General features: G+C 44.3%; 1 long non-coding RNA gene across 1 annotated transcript, besides 1 other annotated feature; it reads left to right on the top strand.

Moving 5' to 3' along the window:
• Window positions 10045-11244: an enhancer, noted in NCBI's record as "MED14-independent group 3 enhancer chr7:153109801-153111000 (GRCh37/hg19 assembly coordinates)". NCBI's record gives its function as "activates an origin of replication core promoter dependent on BRD2, BRD4, P300/CBP and CDK7 cofactors, and independent of MED14, by STARR-seq in HCT116 cells {active_cell/tissue: HCT116}" and the evidence as "EXISTENCE:reporter gene assay evidence [ECO:0000049][PMID:35650434]".
• LINC01287 (long intergenic non-protein coding RNA 1287) lies at window positions 11726-24041 on the top strand. The gene is made up of 4 exons (NR_125776.1): window positions 11726-11869; window positions 16876-17004; window positions 18362-18468; window positions 23414-24041. It is a non-coding gene; the product is annotated as a long intergenic non-protein coding RNA 1287 (long non-coding RNA).
• The last annotated feature ends 2591 nt before the right edge of the window (window positions 24042-26632 follow it).

The following is a 26632-nucleotide window of genomic DNA, read 5'->3' as shown; positions in this document are numbered from 1 at the left end:
CAGCTGTTTTGATGGCAAAGTAGTGTGGAGAACAAAGCTTGGGACTGAGATTGAAACAAAAAGAAGTGACAACTTCTTTGCTCCTTGAATTGAAGCCAGGGTCGCAGAACAGAGCTGGCCTACCTGCAGGCTGACCATTTGACCTGGGAGATCCCAAGCCCCAAGGGAGGGGCCAAGAAGTTGAAACGAAGGCACTCACAATCTCCCTTTCTTAACAGACTGTGTCTCATAAGAGGGAAAACAGTCTTCTTCCATTCCTTGAAACTTTATGCTCTCATTTTTCTGAGTGCTTTTGCTGGGAACGTTTGATGTCATGGTATTTCAACTTTTATTTCTGAAGTTAAGCACTGTACTTACCAAAGACGCCATCGTTGCTTTGTTAACTTCTTGATTATTTCTTGTACACAGTGGCATCAATATTGCTCAGACCCAGTGCATTCATTACACAAATTTTACTCATGGGTGCAGTGAAGTGTGAAGGATAGTTGGAAGGAAATGATAACCAACCAGGCTTTTTCTCTGGAACAGGAAGAATAACCAAATGCATTATTAAAATTTAAGTAGATACCTTTTTCTCTTCCACTTTCTTTATAGAAGCACTTCCTAATAGTTAAAATTCTTCAGCCCAAGACAATGTATTATGGTGCAGTGAAAGAAATAAAAGTCCTGAAATGAGAACCGAAGAATTATTGGTTGTCTACTTACACTAGGTATTTTAATACAAGCTCTCCATTAAACCTCCCAATAATCTCATAATGTAAATAGTATTTGCCACCTTTACAAACAAGAGAACTGCAGTTTTCTTATGGCCAGTAAATCAAAGAGCGGCATTTGAACTGGGGTTTCTCCAAAACCCATATCCTGTTTCACCACTGTTTCCCTGATTGCATCAGTACATATTTCACCACTCTCAGCACAGACATGAAAGAAAAGTTGCAACTCAGGAAAAGAGTCTCTATGCCGCACCAGAATATCTCAAAACACATGTGAAAAACCCTGCTTAGAAAGCACATCTGAAATATAACGTAACACTGCACGCTCCTCATTGGCAGAGCCCAAAAGGTAGCTGATTTGCATTTCCCTCCCCAGCACTTCAGGTTGTGCCCCAGCACCTTGCCAGTCCTCCAGAAAGAGTTTGAAAGGTAATTTTTCAGACTGCTTCAGTCCTAGCAAATGTCAGTGTGAGCTGCTGTTCTGCTCACCATAGTTTCCTGAGACTAGCCAAAACAAATCGACTTGCTGGAGGGAAAATGCAGTCTGGAGATCCTTGTGTTGAACTACAAATGAGTTATCTCTATCATATTATGGGGCACAACTATACGATACATTCAGAAAACCTACATAGCTGGTCTACTATAAATAAAAGTAATCATGACATGACAAACAGGCCAATTCCTAAGTCTTTATGGTGTGCTCACCATTTCTTCAGGTTGTTTTACCATCAACATGACAGTTATGGGAGAATCGCGTAGCTCAGCCACTGCACTGGAGATGATCATTCACTTGGGTATGCAGAGGGGATTTGTGCCCATTTGGAAACAAGCCAGTGTGAACAGCTTGGAGTGTGTCCACGCCATGCATGGTGAACTCTTCTTATGAAGTCCTGTGTCTGTCCATGATCCAAACATGTGTTTAAGAGGGCTTTGCTATCTTCCTCACTCCACATCTGTGTATGCTCCCACTTTACAGTGTAATAAACGGCAAGAAATTCTGGGCCTGAGAGAGAATTACAGAGACAGTACCAGCGACTTCCTTCCAAATTCTACAGACTTAATCTTTCCTGCCATTTCCATTGCTCATGAAGATTTAGGGTCATTTCCCAAGAGAGTGATTTTCATCCCTACTCCTCTCTGCCTCCATTATTAAGTGGCATGCCCTTTTCCCTTCATAATCAGAAACAATCACCCAACCAACCAACTCTTTAACTCCCTGTTTCTTGTTTGCTCAGAAATATGAGGATTCCCAAATCCCCAAATATCAATCTCAGCCTCCAAATTAAAGAAATTATTCTTTTGTCTTTTGTTAAAACGTTTCTCCCTTAGGTTCTAAAACCTCTAATTCAGCTAAGTCCATAGTTAGTGGAAAAGGAAATAAAGACTAGTTGCATGTGGGTCTTTAGATATAACTGTCAGGACCCATCCTTAACATTCGCTATTTTGTTCCTAGACCAATGTATTCTGGCTATGATAGAAAAATAACTATGGATTATTCACCATTTCACTGTATCCGACTTTACGTGACTTGCTGTTTTTTTTTTTTTTTTTTTGAGACAGTTTCACTCTTTTTGCCCAGGCTGGAGTGCAATGGTGCTATCTCAGCTCATTGCAACCTCTGCTTCCTGGGTTGAAGTGATTCTCCTGCCTCAGCCTACCGAGTAGCTAGGATTGCAGGCACACACCACCATGACCTGCTAATTTTGTATTTTTAGTAGAGACAGGGTTTCACCATCTTAGCCAGGCCGGGGTCCAACTCTTGATCTCAGGTGATCTGCTGGCCTCAGCCTCCCGAAGTGCTGGGATTACAGGCATAAGCCACTGCGCCTGGCCTTATGTGACATTCTAAATATTTAAGAGTCATTCTATTCTGTAAGGTTAACAGTTTCTGGAGGCTAAGCTGTTGGATAAGATCGGGGAATCCCATGAGCATCTGCTCATTGCCTCACATTTTTTTGCCACAAATAAAATTTATTGACAAAAACCAAAACAGTCTGAAAATTTCTTGACAAAAACCAAAACAGTCTGGGACCTGACATCAGGTCCACGAATGATGGTGAAGGCATAAGAGGACACAGTCTTCCCCCGACCCAGTTCTTTGGAGATTTACAATGGCACAGCAGCCCATGGCTGTTATCAGCGTGTTGTGCAGAGCCGTATCAAAACTTGGCTTCATTTTGTCTTTTTCAGTCCACATCCATGAATAATTTCTTACAGATGTGCAGGCACAGGTGCTTGTTGAGGGAGGAGCAACAGTGCATCAGGACCAGCCACTCTGTTTATCAGAGAGGTATTCTCACAAATTGCCTGAAACTTTAGATTCTACTCCCAAAGTTGCCACATACCATTTCTGTTTGATCAACGAGAGCTGTTGGGCAAACTCAACATCTGGAAGGCTCAGATGTCACTGAGTTCTTTCTGGTGTTCACAGTCAGCTTAGTGGCAAGCTAAGCTATTTCTCCAAAGAAGAATGTTATTTGCCAAAGAAGGGATAGATTTGCTCCATATACCTAGGCTCTTGCTACAGGCTCCACACAGCATCCTGCTATGTCTCTGACACATTAAATGCCATTGGATGTGCTGCCGTAGTGGCTGGAGAAAAAATTTTTGCACTGCAGCCATGCAACAATCAATCATGCAGGTAATTGCATGACTTTCCCCTGCTCTGGGCTCTACTCAAAGCTAATAGCTTTCCCAGTTACCTATCAAAGTGCTTTGATGAACACATTATAATTTCACAAATATTGTCCTTTTTTACTTATGGGGAAAGGAGGCAAATGATATTACAATTCCTCATCCTCAACTTTTTTTTTTTTTTAGACAGAGTCTCGCACTGTCGCCCAGGCTGGAGTGCAGTGGCGCGATCTCAGTTCACTGCAACCTCCTCCTCCCAGATTCAAGCAATTCTCCTGCTTCAACCTCCCCAGTTGCTGGGATTACAGGCTCTCACCACAACACCCAGCTAATTTGGGTATTTTTAGTAGAGATGGGGTTTCGCCATGTTGGCCAGGCTGGTCTTGAACTCCTGACCTCAGGTCATCTGCCCACCTTGTCCTCCCAAAGTGCTGGGATTACAGGCGTGAGCCATCACACCGGGCCCATCCTCAACTTTTAAAGATGATCCCAGCAAGCACCAGAGCAGGAGACCTTTAAAAACTTTACGAGTGTGCACACCCTGTATGTTCCTAAAACTAATATTCGACCCTGTAAATACATAAAGACACATTGTTTCAGAAAAATAATCTATATTTCTAGAGCCATCCAGTTGATGAACTATGAGAATGTAAGTTTTCATTACATATTCCTGAATTAACAAAACATAGGATCAACACATTAATATATGATATATTAAGGACTCAGGAACTTATCACACAAATGAAAAATAAAGCACTTAAATAGTCTTCTGAAATTACCTTCTGTTTCTCCACTGTACCAAGGCATCACCCTTAAAGAAACCCCTGCCCCAGTTTGGTGTTTATTTATTTCATTTCTTCATACAGAATGCTCTTTTTTCATGTTGATTAAATGTTACATATAGTTTGTATTTATCACGTGTACTTTTTTGTAACATATCTTTTCACTCCTTATGAGACCCATCCATGCTGTGTAGAGGCTCCAGTTCATTTGTTTTACTGCTGTATGGAATTCTATTGTATTAAGCACCATGCTTGTTTATCCATCCTTCTTCCACTGGACTGTAAAGTGGTGGATTCCATTGTGGGGCCATTGCTAGCAAACACTCTTGTACATGTCCTCTTGATCACAAATATGAGAGTCTCAGAGTAACTTTCTAGTAGTGGAATTTCGGGGTCCTTGCTTTATGGAGCTTCGCCTTCACCATATATTGCTATATGTTTTTCTGGAGTCCTTCCTTTCTGACGTTCCAGCTTTCTGAGTCACATAGTCCCTTGAGACGATCATTGAGCTCCAGGTCTCTAAGATTTTTGATGGATCCCACCCATCCCATCCCCAACCATAGGCCAGAAATAGAGTTGATTTATGTCTTTTCCAGTCTGACTCTCAGTCCTTCTTTGTTTTTGTCACATGGGCATTTTCTTTATCAAAAGTTTGACTATGGTCTGGCACAGTGGCTCATGCCTGTAATCCCAGTACTTAGGGAGGCGGAGGTGGGAAGGTAGTTGAGCCCCAGAGTTTAAGATCTGCCTGGGCAATATAGCAAGATGCTGTTCTCCACTAAAAGGAAAAAAAAAAGACCAAAAGAAAGTTCAACTTTCTCAATTTTTTGAGAAAGTATCTGATAAATTGTAACCAGTATTTCTCAATGGTAAGTGATTTTCATATTGTTATTCTACCCTATTCCCAGAACAAAGCTGAGCTCTCATGTTGCATACCCAGACCTTGTATGCCCTTCCGTGACTCCAATTACAAGTCAACGTCTTCATCACCAAGAACAGATTTCCCAAATGGCCCTCTTAACCCCATAAATCACAACCAGGTGAGGGATCATCAATCCTGTCTTTAAATTTATCACTGAAGAAAGACACCCACTTCCCTCCCTCCTTTTCTTATGATTAGCCTCCCAACAGTGTTTAATAGGAACAAGTATACATTCAAAACTTGTGGTTATAGACCAGAAGGCACAACTAGCAGTTAGAAAGTAACACGCCATATCCTGTCTCCCCGACAATTTAGAGAAGGAGAATAATAAGCATGAGGTATTACACAAGGTTTCATAGAGGAGGTAAGATTAGAACTGAACTTACAGAATTTGAAGATTGAGGATAGATCCTAAAAAATGGCCACCAGCTTTCAAAAGCCTCAGCCTTTCCTGAGTACAGCACTATCCCTAGGCCAGTCATGCAGAAGAGAAAGAAACAGAAAGAAACCCTAGAAATTTTGAGATCGTATGGTTCACCCTAGCAAGTGTACTTGGGTATTTTTATAGGGGAAATGGATAGGGATTGCACTCTTTGTTCATTATATGGCTAGTGTACTCCACTCCTTATTGTCTTGTGCCAACTGCACATTTTACTGCTGTGTAGCTTCAGGGCTTAATGGATGCTGCCTGACTCACCCATCATCTTCATTTCTTCCATCCCAAGGTTTGTTAACACTGTCCAAAGATTCAAAGAACCACAGAGTGGCAGCAGTGTCAGTCCTGTACCATTTCCAGTGCACATTCTCTCCCTCTTTGTCACACACACACACACACACATACACACACGGGGTTTTAAAACCACCATATCTATAAGCTAACCAAAGGCACAATGTCTATTTAGCCAGAAAGTTACTTCTTTAATCGTATACATTTTTTTCTTTGAGACAGAGTCTCACTCTGTTGCTCAGGCTGGAGTGTAGTGGCCTGATCCCAGCTCACTGCAACCTCCACCTCCCAGGTTCAAGCAATTCTCCTGCCTCAGCCTCCTGAGTGGCTGGGATTACAGGTGCGTGCCACCAAACCTGGCTAATTTTTTGTATTTTCAGTAGAGATGGGGTTTCACCATGTTGGCCAGGCTGGTCTTGAACTCTTGACCTGAAGTGATCCACTCGCTTCGGCCTCCCAAAGTGCTTGGATTACAGGCATGAGCCACTGTGCCTGACCATCATATAGATTATTTATTTGTAGATCTCAAACTCTCAAACATCTGCCACAGTCTTCTCTCAGGATGCCTGTATGAAAACTAGCGGACAGTAATTTAAACTTCAGAATTTTAGGCCAAGCCTGAAAAAACAGTCTTTACTGAACACTTAGGTAACATCCAAGAATCTGGATTTTAAAAATTTAGATGTGATGGTCTTTTAGTATGTCCACTGGCTGGACTACAGACCTCAGTTACTCAATCAAGTACCAATCTAGGTGTTGCTGTGAATATATCCACTGATGAGATTAAAGTCCATAATCAGTTGATTTCAAGTAAGGGAAATTATTCTGAATAAACTGGTTGGACCTGATGCAACAAATCCATACAGCTGATAATTTTCTGTAGAAGAAGAAATTCACCCCTTAAACAGTAGCTCCAGCCCATGCATGGGAGCTCCTGTTGGGCCACCCTATGGAGTTGGAGTTGCCTAGACAGCCCCACAGTCATGAAAGCCAATTCACTGCAATAAGGCTCTTCATATATGTCTCCTGATGGTTTTTTTTCTCTAGTAAAATCCTAATACAGCTTTTAGTACTGGGGTTGGTGCTAGAAGGTTATCTAAAGCATGAGTTTTCTAAAAATCTCGTGCTCAGGATAATCTGGTTCCAGATTTTCTGGGATTGGTTCTCTAATCTGATTAGAGTTAAAGGCAATAATGGCTACATCCAGTGTGGAAGAGGGCACTGGTAGCTCATAGCTGGATGCCAAAATATCACATTGGATACTCGTAATCAAATACTTACAAAAGACAAGTTTCTGGGTAAGCAGGTATTTGCTACCTTAGAATATTTTAGTCAAACTAAGGGGTAGGTAGGGCCGGCTGGTTGCTCCCAACTGCACTGAAAAAGTGAAGAAAGAAAAGGATGAACTTTGGGATTTGAACTTCCTGATGATGTAGTGTATAGAAAACCTGATCTGTATCTTGCCTAAAGAAACCTGTATCTCCTAGAGCTACAGAGCCCAGATTTCTGAAACTCTCATTCTGGGAGTGGCTGAATTACAATATAAATTGAATTCTCAGCCTCACGGAACATCTTCTGTTCAAGTGAGAGCATTGATTGGGAAGAATCTGGATCCTGAATATTGGAATGGTACCAATGGGCAGATCCTGATGAAGTGGCAGCATGGAGCCCCTAAATTCTGCTGAGCCTTCTTTGCCAATAGAAGCAGCCCTTCCACCCCTGTCGGGGAATGTCAAACCTTCTGTGCTGAGGAAAGTGCAATGGCCTCCTCTGTGGTAGTTGCCTTGCAAAGCTCTGCTAATTCTCTTCAGAGCCTATCCCACCATCTTTTTAGCTTCTATATCCATAACTAGACTGAAGTCCCAGCCTCAAAAGGTGAGGTACAAAGTGACACATGAGACAGGGTACTGTGCTCCAAAAGAACTAAATGACTTTTCCAATTTATACAAACAGAAATCCCAGGAATGTGTATGGGGATGGATATTAAGAGCATGAGATAGTGAAGCAAGAAACACCAAGTTGAATGAAGTCAAATCTCTTGATATGTGCCCTAGCAAGCAGCGATTCTGGACTTAACGTTGTAGCTGAAGGGGTGAGAAGGAGCTCTGGCCATTTGTTTGGCTGATGGGTTGGCTGGTTGGCTGAAATGTGGACCCAGAGGTAGCTCAACTAGATGAAGTTGAAATGCCACAACGGCTTTGGTATGCTGTACAGGAAGGGGCCCAAATGCTTAGGGAGATTGTAATGTTAGAATAGACTTCACCCAAAACTCTGTGTTCTCTTCTGGGGAAAGGGTGAGCTTGTATTTGTTCTAAGCAGGATAGCTGTGTCATGCTGGTTAGAAATACGACTTTGTTATTGACTTTTCAGTTAGAGATGACGTATGGTCTGAGGAGTTATGTCTGGTGTTGAGTTCACGGGGGTGCACTGCGATGGGCTAATGATACCTATGTAGCTTAGCTACAATCCCCAGCCTTTCACTAAAACACCCATCTGTGAAGATATTTTGGCTACATGATTGTAGCTCGTATTTATGACTACCTTCTCCCATAATAAGAAATGTAAGAAACTAAAAAAAAAAAAAAAAATTTCAAAACACTTTTGTATTCATCATCACAATAATTCCATAGTTTAGATAAATCGTGAGTGATCATGCTCAAATGACAGGCAAGTAAACGGGAAGGAGAAATTAGTTTTTCAGAACCACAGAGACCCAGAAATAAAGCAATAAATATATCCGTCTGTATTATTTTGTTCATTCTGCTTGTCAGCAACTTTAACTAAACTTGAGGCAAACACATCGTTCTTTTTCCTTTTATGACCCTTCCTCAAGCCTCCAAATCTCACTACAGTGGGTAGTTTGTCTTGACATTGACTATCCTTCCAGAAATATTTTTGTATAATTAATAACCTTTACTCTTTCTGTCAGCTATAAAATCAGATGACTGTCATTCTTAACATTTAATCTCATCAATTTTGACATTCTCTGAGAATTGGATTTCTGTAAATGCCTGGTGACACAATAGCATTAGATGGAGAATATTTATGTAACCAAGGAACCAAGCCTGAGATCATCTTGAAACTGACATTGCTGAAGATAAGAATAAAAACTGCCTGTTGATTAAAAAGTAGAATTAAAAGAAAGTCCCCCGAAAGCAGGAGAGTAAAACCAAAAATGGGAGATGATTCGGAGAGGCGTTTTCACCTAATTCTAACTTGGGGAAATAGATTGATGCAGGAAATCAGGAGATAACAGTAGGCCATTTAAGGGATAATGTACATATTAATATGGGATCCAGTAAAGAGGAGGAAATTCAAAGTTCCAGCTGCTGCTCTTCCAATAGAAGAGACAGACCAGCCTGACAGCTCGTCAGCTCCATTACCTGTGTCCGAGAAAGTTAGTTGAGCAATTAAATTTTTTCCTGCATGTATACATGTACTTCCATCCATAATAAATAGCAGGTATCATATTTCTCTTTCCACTAAAATCAAGTCAAAAACTGGATGAATATATCTGTAATAATAACTTTCAGGCACTGAACCTTGACAGTATAAAAATATGAACCATAAAAAAAGAAAAAAAAATGAGATAACCCTGCTCATAACCCCAGATTACAGCCTGAAGCAGTTTCAGGTCCCAGCACAACAGGGGAAATTAAAGAGAGCCCCCACTGTGGTGGTGGTGGCTACTCCAGTCCATAAATGTGATGAAACCTCAGAGAATGATATGCCCCTGAAAGCAGGTGCATGTAAAAATGGGTGAAATCCAAATTAAATTTTTAGTTTAGTTAATAGTACTGTTGTAATGTCAGTTTTCTCATTTTGATAAATGTGCTATGTTTAGGGTGTTATCATAGAGGAAACTGGATAAAGGGTATATGGGAAATCTTGGTATTAAATTTGTAACTTCTATGAGATTTAAATTAGTACCAAATGAAAAGATTTTTTTGAAAACTAAAGGCTAAACACTTTTTAGAGGATGAAACTGAGATAAAATTAATCACCACCAGATTTTTACTATAAGAAATTGATTGGACTCCGGTGAAGACTCCAAGATGGTGATTGCCACCTCGGATACCCTGACTCAGCATTTCCGGGTTCACCTTTCCTATTCCCACCACCCCGACTAACGTGCATGCCCACTAGGGCGTGTCACACTCAGAAGCGCGAAACTCAACCGACCCCGCCCCTACCCCACCCACTCCTCACCCAGCATCCATAAAAGCATGCTGCACCTTTGGCACAGCGCGACTTCCCTGGCCCTCCCCCTGCGGACCAGTGAACCTCGCCCGAGGGCTCAATAAAGAAGATTTTTGCCCTCTTTTTCTCACCTCTCAGCCTTATTGATCCATGGTGCCCTTCCATTGCCTTTCATTGGTGCCGAAACCCGGGAGGGGACACCTCCTAAGCCCCCCCAGAGGCTCAGGGGGACTCCCCTCCTGGTCGGATCAGTCCTCTCCCTCAGTCAGGTCAGGCTTCTCCTCCACGGCCATCTGTCCATTTCGTCCGGTTACTTGCTGCCAGGTCGCAGTTGCTGCAGCTACTCCAGTCCAATTCGGCCGACGCTAGGTGAGTACCCCTCCTTTTTCCTTTTGTCCGTTCCTCCCTGGCCGAGAGTCATGCGCACACCCAGGGAGAGTTTCCTTCTTCAAGGGAAGGCCAGTCCGGGTCACCAGGTGACCCAAGTTTACTTCCCCAGGGGAAGTCCAAATCGGCACTGACGACTCAGAGACGTCCATGTCTGAAGTAGCCGATCCGAGGCTCCAGGAGCCGCGTGGTCTGAGTGACCCCAGAGGGATGCTTCTGCTGTCCCTCAGACCGCTGCCATAAGGGGAAGAGGATGGGGTCCACCCAGTCCAAAATCACGCAAAACACCCCCTTAGGGTGCCTTCTGCGCAACCTCCCAACTTTACAACTCAATCAAGATTTAAAATGAAAGCGACTAATTTTCTTCTGCACAGTTGCCTGGCTGCAATATACCTTGGACAACCAATCTCGCTGGCCCCCCAAAGGCACACTCGACTTCAATATCCTAAACGACCTTACCAATTTTTGTCAGAGGCGAGGCAAATAGTCAAAAATCAAATTTGTTCAAAGGTTCTGGGACCTCCGCTCTCGTCGGACCGCTGCCGCCAAGTGTTTTCGCTGGCACAAGTCCCTGTGGCTAGCCTTCCCCTTGAAGTCTGGCCAGCCTCTCTTGCCGTTAATCCTGTCCGGGGCCCCCATCTTAGTCTCTCTGCCGCCATCTCCTTCTGCACTGCCGCCATCTTACTACCTGCTTCCTCACTGCCGCCATCTTACTTCCTTTTTTCTCTGCTGCCATTTTAGTTCTTCTGCCACCATTCGGCTGCCATTTTAATTCCCATTAGTTCCCATTTGTTCTTTTAACCCTGCCCAGCTAACTCCTTGGCTTCCATCTTACCCGCATTCTTATTTCCACCTGCCTATAGTGCCATACCAGTCCACTGCATCTACAACTCCTAACACATTCGCTGCGGGCAGTGATATCCACTAATCCTGGATGAGGCAGCGGAGGGCCCCCAAACCCCTATCCAGGACTTAGTAAAGCTGGCGTTCAAAGTTTTTAATTCCTGAGAGGAGGCGGCTGAGGTACAACGACAGGCAAGCCTGAAACAAAAAGTTCAGCTCCAAACCCAAGCCCTGGCAGCTGCCCTGCAACCGGCATTCCCTAAGAGCCGCGGCAGGAGAGGTAGAGGTACAATCTCCCGGGCCCCGTCTGGCGTCTGCTTCAAGTGAGGCAACTCAGGACACTGGGCCAGCCGGTGCCCTAGCCAACAGCAACCGTCCTGCCCGCCTTGCAACTGTTTCAAGTGTGGCAATCCAGGTCATTGGGCAAAACAGTGCCCAAACCCCAAGCCGCCAACACACCCGTGCCCTAACTGCCAACAAATGGAGCACTGGAGGTCAGACTGCCCCAGCCTCGGAGCGGCCGCTGTGGCTCCACATGGCGACCCCTCCCTGGATGGCGAAGGTGCCCTCTAGCTCCTCCAACTGGATGACGACTGAAGAGGCCCAGGCTCGGGAACCCCTCTCACCCTTGCCGAGCCCAGGGTAATGCTTCAGGTAGCGGGTAAGTCCATTTCCTTTTTGCTAGACACAAGGGCTACCTACTCTGTTTTGCCATCTTTTAGCAGGCCCAGCCGCCCCTCCTCAATCTCTGTTATAAGGATTGATGGCACTCCCTCCACCTACCGCCAGACGCCTTCACTGCCCTGCCGCCTAGACCACTATATAACTTTCTTGAACCCATAATCTACCATCCTTCCTTCTATTCCTTACTAAAGCAAATACATCGAGTTATCTTCTTACTTTAGTAAACACTTTCTCAGGTTAGATTAAAGCCTGCCCTACCACCCATAAAACAGCAGAGGTAGTAGCTTCAACCCTCATTGAACAGATAATCCCGAGATTTGGCCTGCTTTTATCTCCAAAATAGTCAAACAGGTGACAACCACACTTGGCGTTAACTGGAAGCTACACACTCCATACCATCCGCAGTCTTCTGGAAAAGTGGAATGCGCCAACGGCCTTGTCAAACAACACCTAATCAAATTGGCTCTCGAGAAGCGCCAATCGTGGGTAACCTTACTTCCCTTTCCCCTCGCACGGCTCCAGGCAGCACCCCGAAGCCCCACAGGCCTTAGCCCCTTTGAACTCCTATATGGACGCCCCTTCCTCTTTCAAGAGCTCCCTGTGAATAACCCACCTCTTGGCACGTACCTGCCCTACCTCACCCTGTTAAGGGAGCTGCTAAGAGAACACACCGACCACAGCCTTCCAAAGCCCGGACCACTCAGCCCAGACAGTCCGGCCATAATAACCCCAGGAGATCAGGTACTAGTAAAAGACCTCCAGGCAAGAGGTCTCTCCCCCCAGTGGAAAGGCCCCTATACGGTAATTCTTACAACACCGACGGCAGCTAAACTTATAGGCCTTCCCTCCTGGTACCATATTTCCCATCTTAAGAAGGCACCTACACAACATCAGGCCACTTGGACTGTCACCTCCCTTTCCCCAACCAAACTGAAACTCTCTCCATCAAATACCGCATGAATTCTCCATGTGACAGGCTCCAACAATTTATTCAGGTTCTTCTCGAGGAAAGCTGGTCATTCCCTAGTTTTGCTAACACCCTTCACTGGCCTGAAAATCTGTTGTCCTATATAGACGAACTGGTATGGCAAGGCTCCCTCCAGAACTTTCACCAACATGAAGTTCGCTTTGACAAGCCCCCTCTCAGACTCCCTCTCACTGGGTTTTCTTCCCTCACTGAGAATTGGAGTTCCAGACAGGCAGTGTCCTCTAGACTAGTAGCCACGGCAGCATCCCCGCCAGCAGGGTGTCAGGCACCCATAGCTTTCCTAGGTCTAAAATTCTCTTCCCTAGGCCCGGCTAGAAAAAACCCTGCACTTTGCTTCCTCTATGATCAAAGTAACTCCAAATGCAATACCAGCTGGGTCAAAGAAAATGTAGGCTGTCCGTGGCACTGGTGCAATATCCATGAGGCATTAATTCGTACTGAAAAAGGATCTGACCCAATGTTCTATGTCAATACCTCCACTGGAGGACGGGACGGCTTTAACGGATTTAACCTCCAAATTTCTGACCCTTGGGACCCCCGCTGGGCCTCCGGTGTAGATGGAGGACTATATGAGCACAAAACTTTTATGTATCCAGTAGCTAAGATCCGCATTGCCAGGACCCTTAAAACCACTGTCACAGGGTTATCCGACTTAGCCTCCTCAATCCAGTCAGCCGAGAAAGAGCTTACCAGCCAGCTTCAACCGGCAGCTGACCAGGCCAAGTCCTCCCGCTTCTCGTGGTTAACTTTAATCTCAGAAGGTGCACAATTGCTCCAATCCACAGGGGTACAAAACCTCTCCCACTGCTTCCTCTGTGCAGCCCTCAGAAGACCTCCATTAGTAGCAGTTCCTCTCCCTACCCCCTTTAATTATACTATAAATTCATCAACCCCTATACCACCGGTCCCAAAAGGACAGGTCCCACTATTCTCAGACCCTATAAGACATAAGTTCCCATTCTGTTACTCTACCCCAAATGCCTCTTGGTGTAACCAGACTAGGATGCTTACCAGCACCCCGGCACCGCCCAGAGGCTACTTCTGGTGTAACTCCACGCTAACTAAAGTTCTTAACTCAACTGGTAATCACACCTTGTGCTTACCCATCTCTCTCATCCCTGGCCTGACCCTATATAGTCAGGATGAACTTAGCCATCTGCTAGCCTGGACCGAGCCAAGGCCACAAAATAAAAGCAAATGGGCTATTTTCTTACCCTTAGTACTAGGCATCTCCTTAGCCTCCTCCTTAGTGGCATCAGGGCTAGGAAAAGGAGCCCTCACCCACTCAATCCAAACATCTCAAGATCTGTCTACTCACCTGCAGTTGGCCATTGAGGCATCGGCCGAGTCCCTGGACTCCCTACAGCGACAGATCACTACAGTAGCACAGGTCGCAGCACAGAACAGGCAGGCCTTAGACTTGCTTATGGCAGAAAAAGGAAGGACATGTTTATTCTTACAGGAAGAATGCTGCTATTATCTCAATGAGTCAGGGGTAGTTGAGAACAGTTTACAAACTTTAAAAAAAAAAAAAAGCTCCAAGAGGAGTTAAAACACTCCTACGACCCTCCACCCTGGTCCTTCTTGGTGGTTTTCAACCGTGGCTCAACAGATGCTCCCTTTCCTTATCCCAATTATAATTCTCTGTATAATAATGTGTTTTGCCCCAATCCTAGCACAGTTTCTTTGCCAGCGGATACAAGAAATCACCAGGGTTCTTCAAGTAGAAGAAAAATAATACTAGATAGAAATTTTCACAAACAAAAAGGAATGAGAGCATTGGAAAAATGGAAAATATGTAGTTAAATATGAAATTTATAATCTCTTTAAAAGATGATTGACTGCTTAAAAAATGATAACAATGAAAGTTAGTTTGTATTCACTATTGATGCATCGCAAAATACACTAATCACTTAGTGGCCAAACATGACAAACATTTGTTGTGTCGCAACTATTAAGTGTCAGGAGTTTGGAAGTGGCTTAACTGAGTGGTTCTAGCTCAAAGTCTTTTATGAGGTTGTAGTCATGGAGTCAGTGAAGGATACCATCATCTGGAGGCTCAACTGTGGCTGGTGAATCTGCTTCCACCTCACTGGCTGTTGGTGGGAGGCCTCAGACCCTCACTGGCTGTTGGCAGCAGGCCTATTTCTCTCCACATGGGCTACGTGAGTGTCCTGATGACACTGCAGCTGGCTTCCCCAGAGTGAGGAATCCAAGACAGAAAACAGGGCAGAGGCTGAAGTGCTCATGACTTAGTCAGAAGTCACACACCAACATTCCTATCATGTTCTAAACTCTAGTAGAAAGTCATTAAGTCCAGGCCACACTAAGGGGAGGTGAATTACACTCCATCTTTTGAGAGGACATATTTCAGAGCCACCACATGTAAAAGCAAAATGTCTAACAACAGTGGCACAAAGGACAGAAGATGGAAAGTGGAAGTCTACAGTCTTAAGTATCTTATGCTGCAGGTGAAGTGGATGATGCCAAGTGAAGGTAGACTGCAATAAATTAAATCATATGTTGGAAACTCTAGAGAAACACTAAATGAAACCTGTATTGCTAATAAATCAATATGAGGGATAAAATGAATCCATAAAAAAGTACTCAAGTAATCAAATAGAAGGCAGGAAAAGGAGAAAAAAGAATAAAGAACAGATAGGACAAACAGGAAAAAAACAGCAAAACAGTACATTTAAACTAATCAACAATTACATTAAATATAAGTGGCTGAACATCAAAAGAAAAAATCAAAGATTACTAGCTTGGTTCAAAAAGTAAAACTATGTTCTGGATACAAGAAACATACTTTAAATTGTAGCTATGTTAAAAGTAAGAAGGTGGGAAAATAAATATCGTAAAAAGATGAATCAAAAGAAAGCTGGAGTAGCTATGTTAATAGACAAAGTAGATTTCAAAACAAGGAATATAACTAAGAAGAAAAATGGAATTTTATTTTAAAGGTGTTAATTCATTAAAAAGACATAATTATAGATGATTATGTACCTAATAACAGATATTTGAAATATCTGAAGCAAATTCTAGTAGAACCAAAAAGAAAGAAATAAGTCAGAAAAAGTGGAATTAGACACACACACACACACACACTCACACACACACACACACAATATCAATGGAGATTTTAATGCTCCCCTAAGGAATTGCTAGAACAAGGAGACAAAAAGACAAAAACAAACAATAAAAACACAAACACACATTGAGGACATAAACATCTTGAACAACACTATACCTTAGCTGACTTCATTGACACATATAGAACACTCCAGCAGTGTACTAAACATTCTTTTCACATGTAACGAGAACATTTATAAAAGGAGACTATATTAAGGGGTGTTTACTGAGTATCAATACCTTTATAAGCAGGAATCAGCAAGCTACAGCCCAGTGGCCAAATCCAGCCCACCACCCACTGCTGTAATAAAGCTTTGCTGGAGCACAGCCATGCATGTTATTTGTGCATTATCTATGGCTGCTTTTGTACTACAATGACAGAGCTAAGTAGTGGCTACAAAGAATATGAATGGGCCCACAAAGCCTACACTCTCTCTACCTTCTGGCACTTTACAGAAAAAGTTTACTGACAGCTGGGCACAGTGGCCCAGACCTGTAATCCCAGTACTTTGGGAAGCTGAGGAGGGAGGATCACTTCAGACCAAGAGTTCGAGATCAGCCTGGGCAACATGGCAAAACCCCGTCTCTACTAAAAACACAAAAATTAGCCAGGCTTAGTGGTGCTCACCTGTGGTCTCAACTACTCGGGAGGTTGAGGCACAAGAATCACTTGAGCCTGCTAGGCAGAGGTTGCAGTGAGCCATGATTGTGCCACTGCACACCAGCCTGGATTTTTAAATCCTGCCAGAAAAAGTTGGCACAACTCAGTAACTAATCAACAAATAAAAATTACAAATAGTCATTTTATCATATTAAGAATATTTATCCCTTGCAAAGTTATATTATGTGGGATCCCATTTCAGAGACAAATGAAGACACTCGACCATCTCTAAATGCTACCAAACACATAGAGTCTACTCTGAATGCAGATACTGCTCTCATAAAAATTCTGCAAAGGAGGAAGGGGTTGGTGCAGAACTGTTCCGATGCTGGTAGGTTCCTTTCAAGGGCAGGCTTTTTTAGTCTCCCTGGGAATTGATGCTACAGAAAATGCTGATATTTATGGAATTAATCTTATCTCCCTCAGATACGGAATGAGAAAAATAATCGTGAGCCCCTGTCCTTTGCTCTGAAGCACCCAATCCTATACATTGACGTGTAGTCACTGATATAAATGTCACACCCTCTTGTCTAGTGTGCACACGTCACGATGTAGCCCTTTCTGCACCTGAGTACTCTCATGCATGCACAAAGCCAGAGTGGTTTTTCAAAATGCTAATTTGGTAATGAGCCAGGAGCCAGATGACTTGATGAAGAATAATTTGACAGAGATCTTGAGCTCAGAAGTAAACAAATTAATATAAAGAGAGAAGTAAGAAACCGAGTGAGCAAGGCTTAGGAAAAGAACTAGGAGAGGTTCCAACTGGAATCAAGGGAGCTGAGAAAATCATTGAGTCCTAAAACTGGAGCACCTCTGAAAGCCCCTGGGCCAACTTCCTGTCCCCATTCATTTATTCCTTCATTCTTCCATTTGCCAAATATGCTGTTTAGTGTGAGGGGTGGAATAGGAATTGAGGCAAAAGGGCCCCTTTCCTCTGAACATGCACAGTTAGCAGGGAAGGTAGACACTAAATAGATACACATAATAACATGTCGTGATTGCCATGGTGGTGAGTACAGGCTGCTGAGATGCCCAGAGTAGGAGTCCTGACACAGACAGTGGGCCCAGGAGACCTCCCTGGAGAGAAGACATTTATGCTGAGATTTCAGTAATGGGTATTAGCCATTAGGTGTAGGCAAACAAAAGTGTACAATTCTAGGCCAGGTGCGGTGCCTCACTTAAGGTCAGGAGTTTGAGGCCAGCCTGGCCAACATGGCAAAACCCCCTCTCTACCAAAAAATATAAAAAATTAGCTGGGCGTAGTGGCAGGCGCCTGTAATCCCAGCTACTCAGGAGGCTAAGGCAGGAGAATTGCTTGAATCTGGGAGGCAGAAGTTGCAATGAGCTGAGATCTCCCCATTGCACTCCAGCCTGAGTGACAGAGTGAGACTCCATCTCAAAAAAAAATAGTGTGCAGTTCCAGGCGGAAGATCACCATGTGTGAAAGCTCAGAGACAATGAATCTTGCCTAAGAACAGAAGAGAAGTCTGCGTGGTCAGAACCCACGATATAAGGAGAGTGAGAAGAGGGGAGGTGAGGGGATGTGTTAGAAGACCTTCTTAACTACCTAAGGAGTTTACATTTTATCCTCAGGAAAATGGGATGTCATCAAAGCCCTTTGAGAAAAGGAGGGATGTGATCAGATTTGTAATTTTCAAAGATTTCCTGAGGTGCTGTGAATTTTACAGATCAACTGAGATGCAAAACCCATGTTCACATCATGAGTGAGTCTTCTAACTCGGACAATGCAATCAACAAATTCTAAGACCAAATTCCGGTGGCACTGGCTCCAAAGGTAAGCCTGTAGATCCACTGCTAGCAAGTGGGGCTGGGGATTACTGTACATAGTTTTCAGGAGCATTAGAAATAATCGCTGGGTTATTGCCATATTTGACAACATCGTCTTACATAGGAGACTTAGACAATGCCGCTGGAGAGTGCCTTCTATCTCAGAATGTGGGTCAGGGCCTCAGAAAGAAATCTCGATCCAAACCTAAGCATCATCTTGAGTGTTTGCCGGGAAGGCCCTGTGTGCCCTAGAAGTGGGTGCTGGAAAGGCCCCTGCCATTGTGAAGTGACGTAAGAGAACGGGGAGCCGATTGTTTGGGCACTGTCAAGCTGCCATATGCCGGAAACCTGCCTCCCTCTGTCGTGACAGCTGAGGCCTCCATACTGTGGTCACAAAAGGGGTTTGGCTACTTCCCGTCAGCTCAGATAATCACAGGTATGGAAGGCCTCATCCAGCCCCACACTGTATCAGGGACTCGGGGTGAGCAGTGACTGAGACGTGGGCCTGGTCCATTGGGAGCCTACATTCCCATGCACAAATGCAGCAATAATCAAGAAAAAGTGAATAAGCCAAGTTATCTCAGGTTACATCAAGTGCTATGAAATTTATAAAAGGAGTGTAAAAATTATGAGTAACCAGGGAAAGCCAGTGTAGACAGTGTGGGCATAGCAGGTGCCTCATAGCTGAGGCCTGAGTGGGGAATAAGCTCCACAGGGGAAGCACAGTCCAGGCAGGGGAGCAGGAGCCTCCGCCTCCATGAGCAGGAACCTCTTCCCCACTTTTTGAACAGCCGAGTTCCTGCCAGAGCGTTGGTTGTACATAGTCTGCTGCAACCATACCAGGGTTTCAATTGAGTGCCTCAGTGCCCGTAAAACATTCTTTCTACTTTTTCTAGGAGAGTGGAAATAGTCAGCCAAATCAAACTTGATCTTTCCTTTCTCAAAACTCCAATATTCAGCAAATATTTGAGTCTACAACATACCGTGCCCTGGGAGTTATAAAGACATGGCCTTCTTTTTTGGAAGATCTCTAATCTTTGAGGTCATTGGTAGAAGCACCCCCTACACAGGTTAACATAATGTCCCCCAGTCACATGAGGGTACATTACATACAGCATCATTGGCATAAGTGACTCTGTCTTAAAACATGACCCCATCTTATACTTCAAAAGGCATCATGCCAGCAGGGACCAGATGTGCACCTAATCAAGAGATGGCATCCAATCAGATGGGGGTGTGACCCTTTACTATCGTCCTCACCACAGGACTCATGGTCTATCAAAGAGCAAGACCTCACCAGCTCAACACAGCCACCTCCATACACATCTTACTGTCACTTGTGATCAGCACCAAAGGAAGTGTCCACCTGAAGGACTCTCCCTTGAGGACTGTCAGGATCCACCCAAGAGGTGCTCTTTGTCCACACCACGTTCCTTTTACTGGTTCGTTATCCCATTTTCTGTTGATGTTAAATGTCACTCTGTTTGATGTGAAAACTCTCATCTATAACATTTATAGATTGATTAAGTATACTATCATGCATGGTTTGCAATGTTGACTGGCCTGTGCAGTGGCTTGAGCCTGCATGCCACAGTGGCTCTGACTCCTGAGTGCATGGGAGGCCTAAAGACAACTGCCTCCTCAGGAACCCCACAGAGCCCGTGGTTTTTATTATTGAAATAGCATTGGTAAAGTCTGACCCTGTGGAGAGAGACAAACGTGTGTGGATTTGGCTATGCCTGGCCTTGTGCTGCTCACGACATAACTTACCCACCATTTTCAGCACTTTCTTTGTTCTACTTTGAGTTACAAATAGAGACACATAAATAAATATGATCTGTCCTTTTTTTCTCAAGCACCGAAATGGTGACTGGTGCCCTTTGGCACCCATTGCCCCTGTAGTTATAGCACAAATACAGTAGCTTGTATCAGGGACTTCAAAAATATCCTTTGAAAGTCAAATATTTGGAGAGAAGGAGAGGGGCAAGAATGGCCTTTCTTTCTAGGGAAAAGACTTTGCCATGAGCAGTTTAAAATGCTGCAGAGAAAACTGCCGTGAAAGGCTCAGCTGTACCCCCTGCTCTGTTTCATGCCAGGCAAGGAGCCGGCTGTAGACATGGGAAAGAAGGATGCCAGGTGAGCTAGAGGGGTCCAGGGCCCCATAGGAGGAGGCTGCTGAGGATGTTGGTTGTAACTCACAGGCCCAGTCAGTGCCTTCCATTCTTGGTGATGGAAGGAGACCCTCCCAGCATGACTCTGAGCACCTCTGAGCTTGATCTAGCAAGGACAAGGCAGCCAGAAGCCCAGCTTTGCTCAGATCTGGGAAGTGTGCAGGCTGCAGGGGCCTCTGTGGGTTTACAGGGAGTGCTCTGGGATCCTCTGCGCTGTGGGGTGTGAGGCTGGGATGGCCTGGCCACATGCCAAGAAGGCAGAAGCAAGTTCAAGGGCAGAAAAGTTGTGGGCAAGAGTCTCAAGAGCACCTCACCAACCACAAGACTCCACTCAGTACTGAGCTCTTGGGGTTGCAGTAAAGCCTAATGGCATCATAGATTTTTCTCTACGTTAACAATAAAAAGGCAGAGCTCAGAGAGGTTCTGATGTACTTGAGGACACACAGTTCATTGAGAGGTGGGATCAGAGTCTAGGTCTTGTGGGCTGGCAAGGATGCCAAAGGAACTTAGGCGGGAGACACACAACACACATGGGAAACACACAGCAGTTACAGCAAACGCACACACGGGACAACAGCAAGCATGGAGCTAGATATGGTGAGCCCCAGAAAGGAAGAGTAGAGCCAGCTTAGTTTTACAGGGGCTAGGGAATTCTTGGTCTGTGAAGACAAATTGTATCCATTCAGTTTTTCATTCAATATAATTGAGTGCCTTGATAGGTACAGGAAATACACAAATGGAAATAAGTCATCGACTCTACCCTCAAGGCATTTGGGTGTTTTCCAAGCTCTGTGGTTGTTCCTAGGACTATAAATATGAAGAAAAAAAGATTCATAGAAACTGCCCTCAGGTCCTTCTGGCTTTTAGATAAATAGATTATAGACAGATAGATAGATAGATAGATAGATAGATAATAGATAATAGACAGATATAGATAAAAAAGATGATAGAGATAGATAGATAATAGACAGAAAGATATAGATAAAAAAGATGATAGAGATAGATAGATACATGATAGAAAGAGAAAGGGGATCAGATAGATGACAGATAGATAGATAATAGATAATAGAAAGATATAGATAAAAAAGATGATAGAGATAGATAGATACATGATAGAAAGAAAGAGAAAGGGAATCAGATAGATGACAGATAGATAGATAGATATAGACGATAGATATATGATAGAATTACTTTATATAGATATATGAATTGTTCAGTGCAGTGTGCAATGTAACAGTCTGTAATGCAGGCAGGTGCAGGATGATGACCAGAGGAGGGTGACAGCTAACATGCGGGAATGAAGAAAGGCATCCAGGAAGAGATGGTGAGAAAATTGTGTCCTGAAAAGAAAGAGGCAGGGTTACAAAAGAAGCGGCTTCCCCGGGAGGCTCCCCAGCAGGTGCGGAGGAGGAGAGACTAAAGTGCACGGTGTGTGGGGGGAACAGCGAGTCATTCTGAATACAGACAACGGGGGTGGTGATGATGGCAGAGATGCACAGGGCAGATGGGTGGGCACAAGATCTCAGGCTGGAGGAGGAGGACAAGAGGCACCCACTATGAATATTCTGTCCAACCGGACACTGACTTTCACATTATTTGACCTTTTGGCTCACGTGTTAAATTCTGTCATTTCCAGGCCCCAGGGAAAATAAACTAATCAAGACTACTTTAATTTTTTAAATATGAAACCTGCGGAAAATCATGAAAAATAGTAACACAATTCCACCATTTTCTACGAAAAAATACTGAAAGGGTTATTAACTTGAATGTCCAATAGACAGCTGAATTAGATATGAAGTTGCATAAAGAGAGTAGCCAAATCAAAATATATAAGTTTTAAAAGGCAATATCCAGGACTTCAAACATGGAAAGAGTTACACGAGAGAAAAGAGGATTTTGAGAGATTGCTGCTTCATTTGCATGCTCAGCAAAACCTCACGGAGCACTGACGTTTTGAGTCATCCCTCTAATCATCTAGCATCCAACGGTGAGCAGTGCAGACCAACACCCCTGCCCTCTCAAGCTTCCATCCTACTGGAAGCAGGTGCATCAGCAGCATACATATAATAAACGGGTAAATAGCACAGTAGGTTGGAAAGTGATAAGCACCATAGAAAAAAATAGAGCAGACTCAGGGGTACAGGACTGGAGGCAGGACAGGAGAAAGTTAAATATGGTGGCCAGAATAGAACTTGCTAAAAGGGTGACTTTTGAACAAATAGGAAAGGGATTAGCCACGCAGGCAACTGAGGGAAATGTCTTTCCGGCACAGGGAAGAGCCAGCGCCAAGGCCCTGAGACGAGGTTCTGTAGGGTCTGCACAGATTGGCAGGGCTGCCGGAGCCACGGAGCTGGGCAGGAGCGGGAGGTGAGGTGGCAGGAGCTTGAGGGCAGACGGCTTCCACCTGTGGTCCTGGGAACTGGGAGAGAAGGAGACCGGGTGCCCCATCCATGCAGAGACAGTGAACTAGGCTTGGAGTCCTCACCACTCCAGATGCTGAAGGTCACCCCTGCAGTTGCACTCGGGAAGCAGAGCCCGAGTACATTTGTAGACGGGTCATCTCACACTCCTGGAGTTCATTGAACAAGGGGCGAGTATTTATAGGAGACAGGGAGCTGGGTGGAGTCCTTTGGGGTCTGGTCCACTGGATTGAGACAAAGGGCTGAAGAGGTCTCAGAAAGTGTACACTCAAGAGGACAAAAGAGGATTTTGCAGCCTCCAAGAGTCGTTGTAAGCCTTACACACCTTCAGGCCTTCCTCCTTCTCTCCCCTCTATTTCAGCTCCTGAGTGTGGAAGGAGGTGAACAGGGAAAAGCAGAGAGGACAAAAGTCACATCCCCTCCCCACAGACCCATACTGGGGAAGGGTGGAAGATTTAGCTGCGAGTCAAGTTCAGAATTTTGATTAACATCTTGGCATGCACATTCGAATTTCAGAATCAAGACTGTTGGCCATAAAAAATGACTATAGCCTTGTGTATTACCTGAACTGAGCAGTAAAAAAAAAGTCATGGTCCTTCTGGGGCTTTTATTCTGAGACAGGAACCCTGAACAGGCAGGAGAAAGGGAATGTTGACAGAGAAACAAAGACAGTTGGCGACACACGCTGACCGCCATGCGGACGTCCATCAAACCCAGCACTGGCCCTGGGTACGTGCGCCTTTGCTATTACCCCAATACATTTTCTTCTGCAGAGCAAGCAACAGAACACATGCAGACCTTAATAAATACCACTGGGTAATGTGACAATGGCCAAACTCTCCTCACGGGGGAGAGAGTGTCCCCCAGTTTTGCTCCCTTTTAATTTCCAGGGTTCATAAGTAGCTCTAAAGCTTTGCTCTACAAGGTTGATACATACGATATTAATGTTTCCCCTAAGCAGTATAACATAAATATATTTGCTATCTTGACATTCTGGGTTTGGTTTTTCAGTGTTGGCGTAAGTGGGTTTTATACTTTCTGGAACAAGAGTTCATCACCAAAGGGAAAATGCTGTCCACCCCACCCTCTTTGAAAGAAAAGGCTCAGCCCATAGTTCTCCAGATGAAAGAAATGTACCTAATCAGCTATTTCCTGTTGCTTGATTGGATGTTAACAATGGAGATAGACACACAGCTAATTGTGGTGGCACAGCAGGAAGCCTAATTCACTTTGCTGTAGAAATGCCCACACAGAGAAAGTGGGAGATGGCTGCACAAGAGGCCCCATAGGCAGGCAAATGCTTACTGCAGTTTCTTTCCCAAACATTTCCAAATAGACCAAATAAACATGAATTTGCTCACTGTAGTTTATATTCCAAATAAAAATGAATTTCTGGCCAGGCGCGGTGGCTCATGCCTGTAATCCAGCACTTTCGGAGGCCAAGGCAGGTGGATCACAAAGTCAGGAGTTTGAGACCAGCCTGGCCAATATGGTGAAACCCCATCTCTACTTAAAATACAAAAATTAGCCTGGCGTGGTGGCAGGTGCCTGTAATCCCAGCTACTCAAGAGGCTGAGGCTGGAAAATCACTTGAACCTGGGAAGCAGAGGTTGCAGTGAGCTGAGAGGGTGCCATTGCACTCTAGCCTGGGTGACAGAGCAAGACTTGGTCTCAAAAAAAAAAAAAAGAATTTCGCCACGCTCCGCAGACACAGGCATTCCACACCCTTGTCCAGACTGGTCCCAGGGGAAAGAATCTCCAGGCTAAAGAGCCGTGGTCTTCCAGGGCCTCTGGCCAGGTATCTCAATGTCTTCACCCATGTGAATTCTGGACAAGGGCTTCCTACCACATCCCCAAGTTTGCCCTTCCCCCCATACCCTGACCTCCATTTCTCTACTTTACCTCTCCCAGCCCACCATGGGACCATGTGATCAGCCACATAGGCATAAACTAGCACACAGCTACCTTAGGGTAGGGCCCTCTAGGGTGGCCAGGTGGCTACCTCACAAATCAGTCTATGGCTCTCACAGAAACTAGAATTTGCTTGGGCAAGAGGTATCAAGAGCATTAGAAATATTTATACTTTTTCATTCAGTAATGGTATAATCTGAATCTGGGCTGAGAGTCTAAGAATATTGAGCTGTGTGAGAATGCACACAGCTGTTTATTACATTTTTTTAAGTAATGGAAAAATTGGCTAGAATTTAAATATACACCAGTAGGGTAGATGTTTAATAAACTATGATTTATCCAACTTACAGACTACTGGACAGCCATAAAATGATAGTTAGACTAATTTTTGCCATGCTTTATCTTTTAATATTCTTACGTAATTCCATCTCATTATTTCATCTGGCTTTTATTAAACAGTAAATATAATACTAACTGTAATTACAATACTAACTGTAATTACCAGTGGTTACTTTAACTACCTTTCTGTGTTTTCCTAATTTTTATGATCACCATGAATTTCTGTACTGGGGAAATAAGCAAACTCTTTATAAGGTGTTGGGACACGTAAAGGACATTTTCACAGCACTCTGCAATGTCCTGGCTCCTTGACTGAAAAAAGAATGAGTTTGCTCAGGCCTCAGCCTCCTGGAGTCCCAGACTGGAGCCATTGTGGTTAATATCTGTAAGTTTGGTTTTTGTTTTTCTCAGGTGCTCCACTGAAGCTCATCCACACACACACACAATACACACTGATGCTTATAACACACCTGGCCCTGTGTTAATAAGTAGCCTGGTATAAACTTGGGAAGCAGAAAGAAGGAAAAAGACTGCAGCAGCAGGCACAATGTGGCTGAAACCCCTTCCAGGAGAAGAGAGCGAGCGAGAGGGAGGATTGAGGACAGATGCAGAGGGCAGAAAGAACTCTTTACGTCTGGCCAAGTATGGGGCAGCTACACTGAGTCCTTTCTGCCAGATGAAGGCAGGGAATAGTCCCAGTCAAAGCATTGCTGTGAAGTTTCCCTGGTGACTTCAGAGTTTCTGTGTCTACCACCCCCAGCCTGGTTAACACAGCGCTCTGTAATAAAGTCTAAAATTCTAAATGATAGCAAAGAGCAGCTTGCATTATCTTTTCTCCCTGGAGGATAAATAGGACCCCTTGCATCTAGTTGTTTGTAGGTAAGAAGCTGGCAAGAGTCAAGACAGGTAGGACCCTATAAAGGTTAGGAAGAAAACCACTGCTTCCTCACACACAGCATGTCCCCAAGCCAGCCAGCCCTGCCTCCCTTCTAGAACCTGCCCCCGAGCTTCCCTGGAGAAGCCCTTCGCCAAGTCTTCCCATCAGTGAGTTTCAATCATCACTGAGGTCTTGGTTCAAAAGTCACACCCTCAGGAAGTCCTTTCTGAGCTCTCCTAAGTAACGAACCTGATTCCCCTCCACATTGCATCTCCATCTTGCAATTTCTTCAGAGCACTCACCGTGTCTTAAATTATCTAGTTTGTTTATCTTATTTATTTTGAAGCTCCCCTCTAAAAATAAGTTTAGTGAGGGCAGAGAACCCCCAGTTCATGTCCACATTCCTGGTCTGGCCCATAATGGGCACTGAACAAATATTTCTTGTAGAGGGTG

The sequence above is a fragment of the Homo sapiens genome, chromosome 7 (assembly GCF_000001405.40).
Source record: "Homo sapiens chromosome 7, GRCh38.p14 Primary Assembly".
Lineage (NCBI taxonomy): Eukaryota > Metazoa > Chordata > Mammalia > Primates > Hominidae > Homo > Homo sapiens.
The sequence above is the reverse complement of the archived record's forward strand: the minus strand, read 5'-3'. Positions and strand labels throughout refer to the sequence as shown.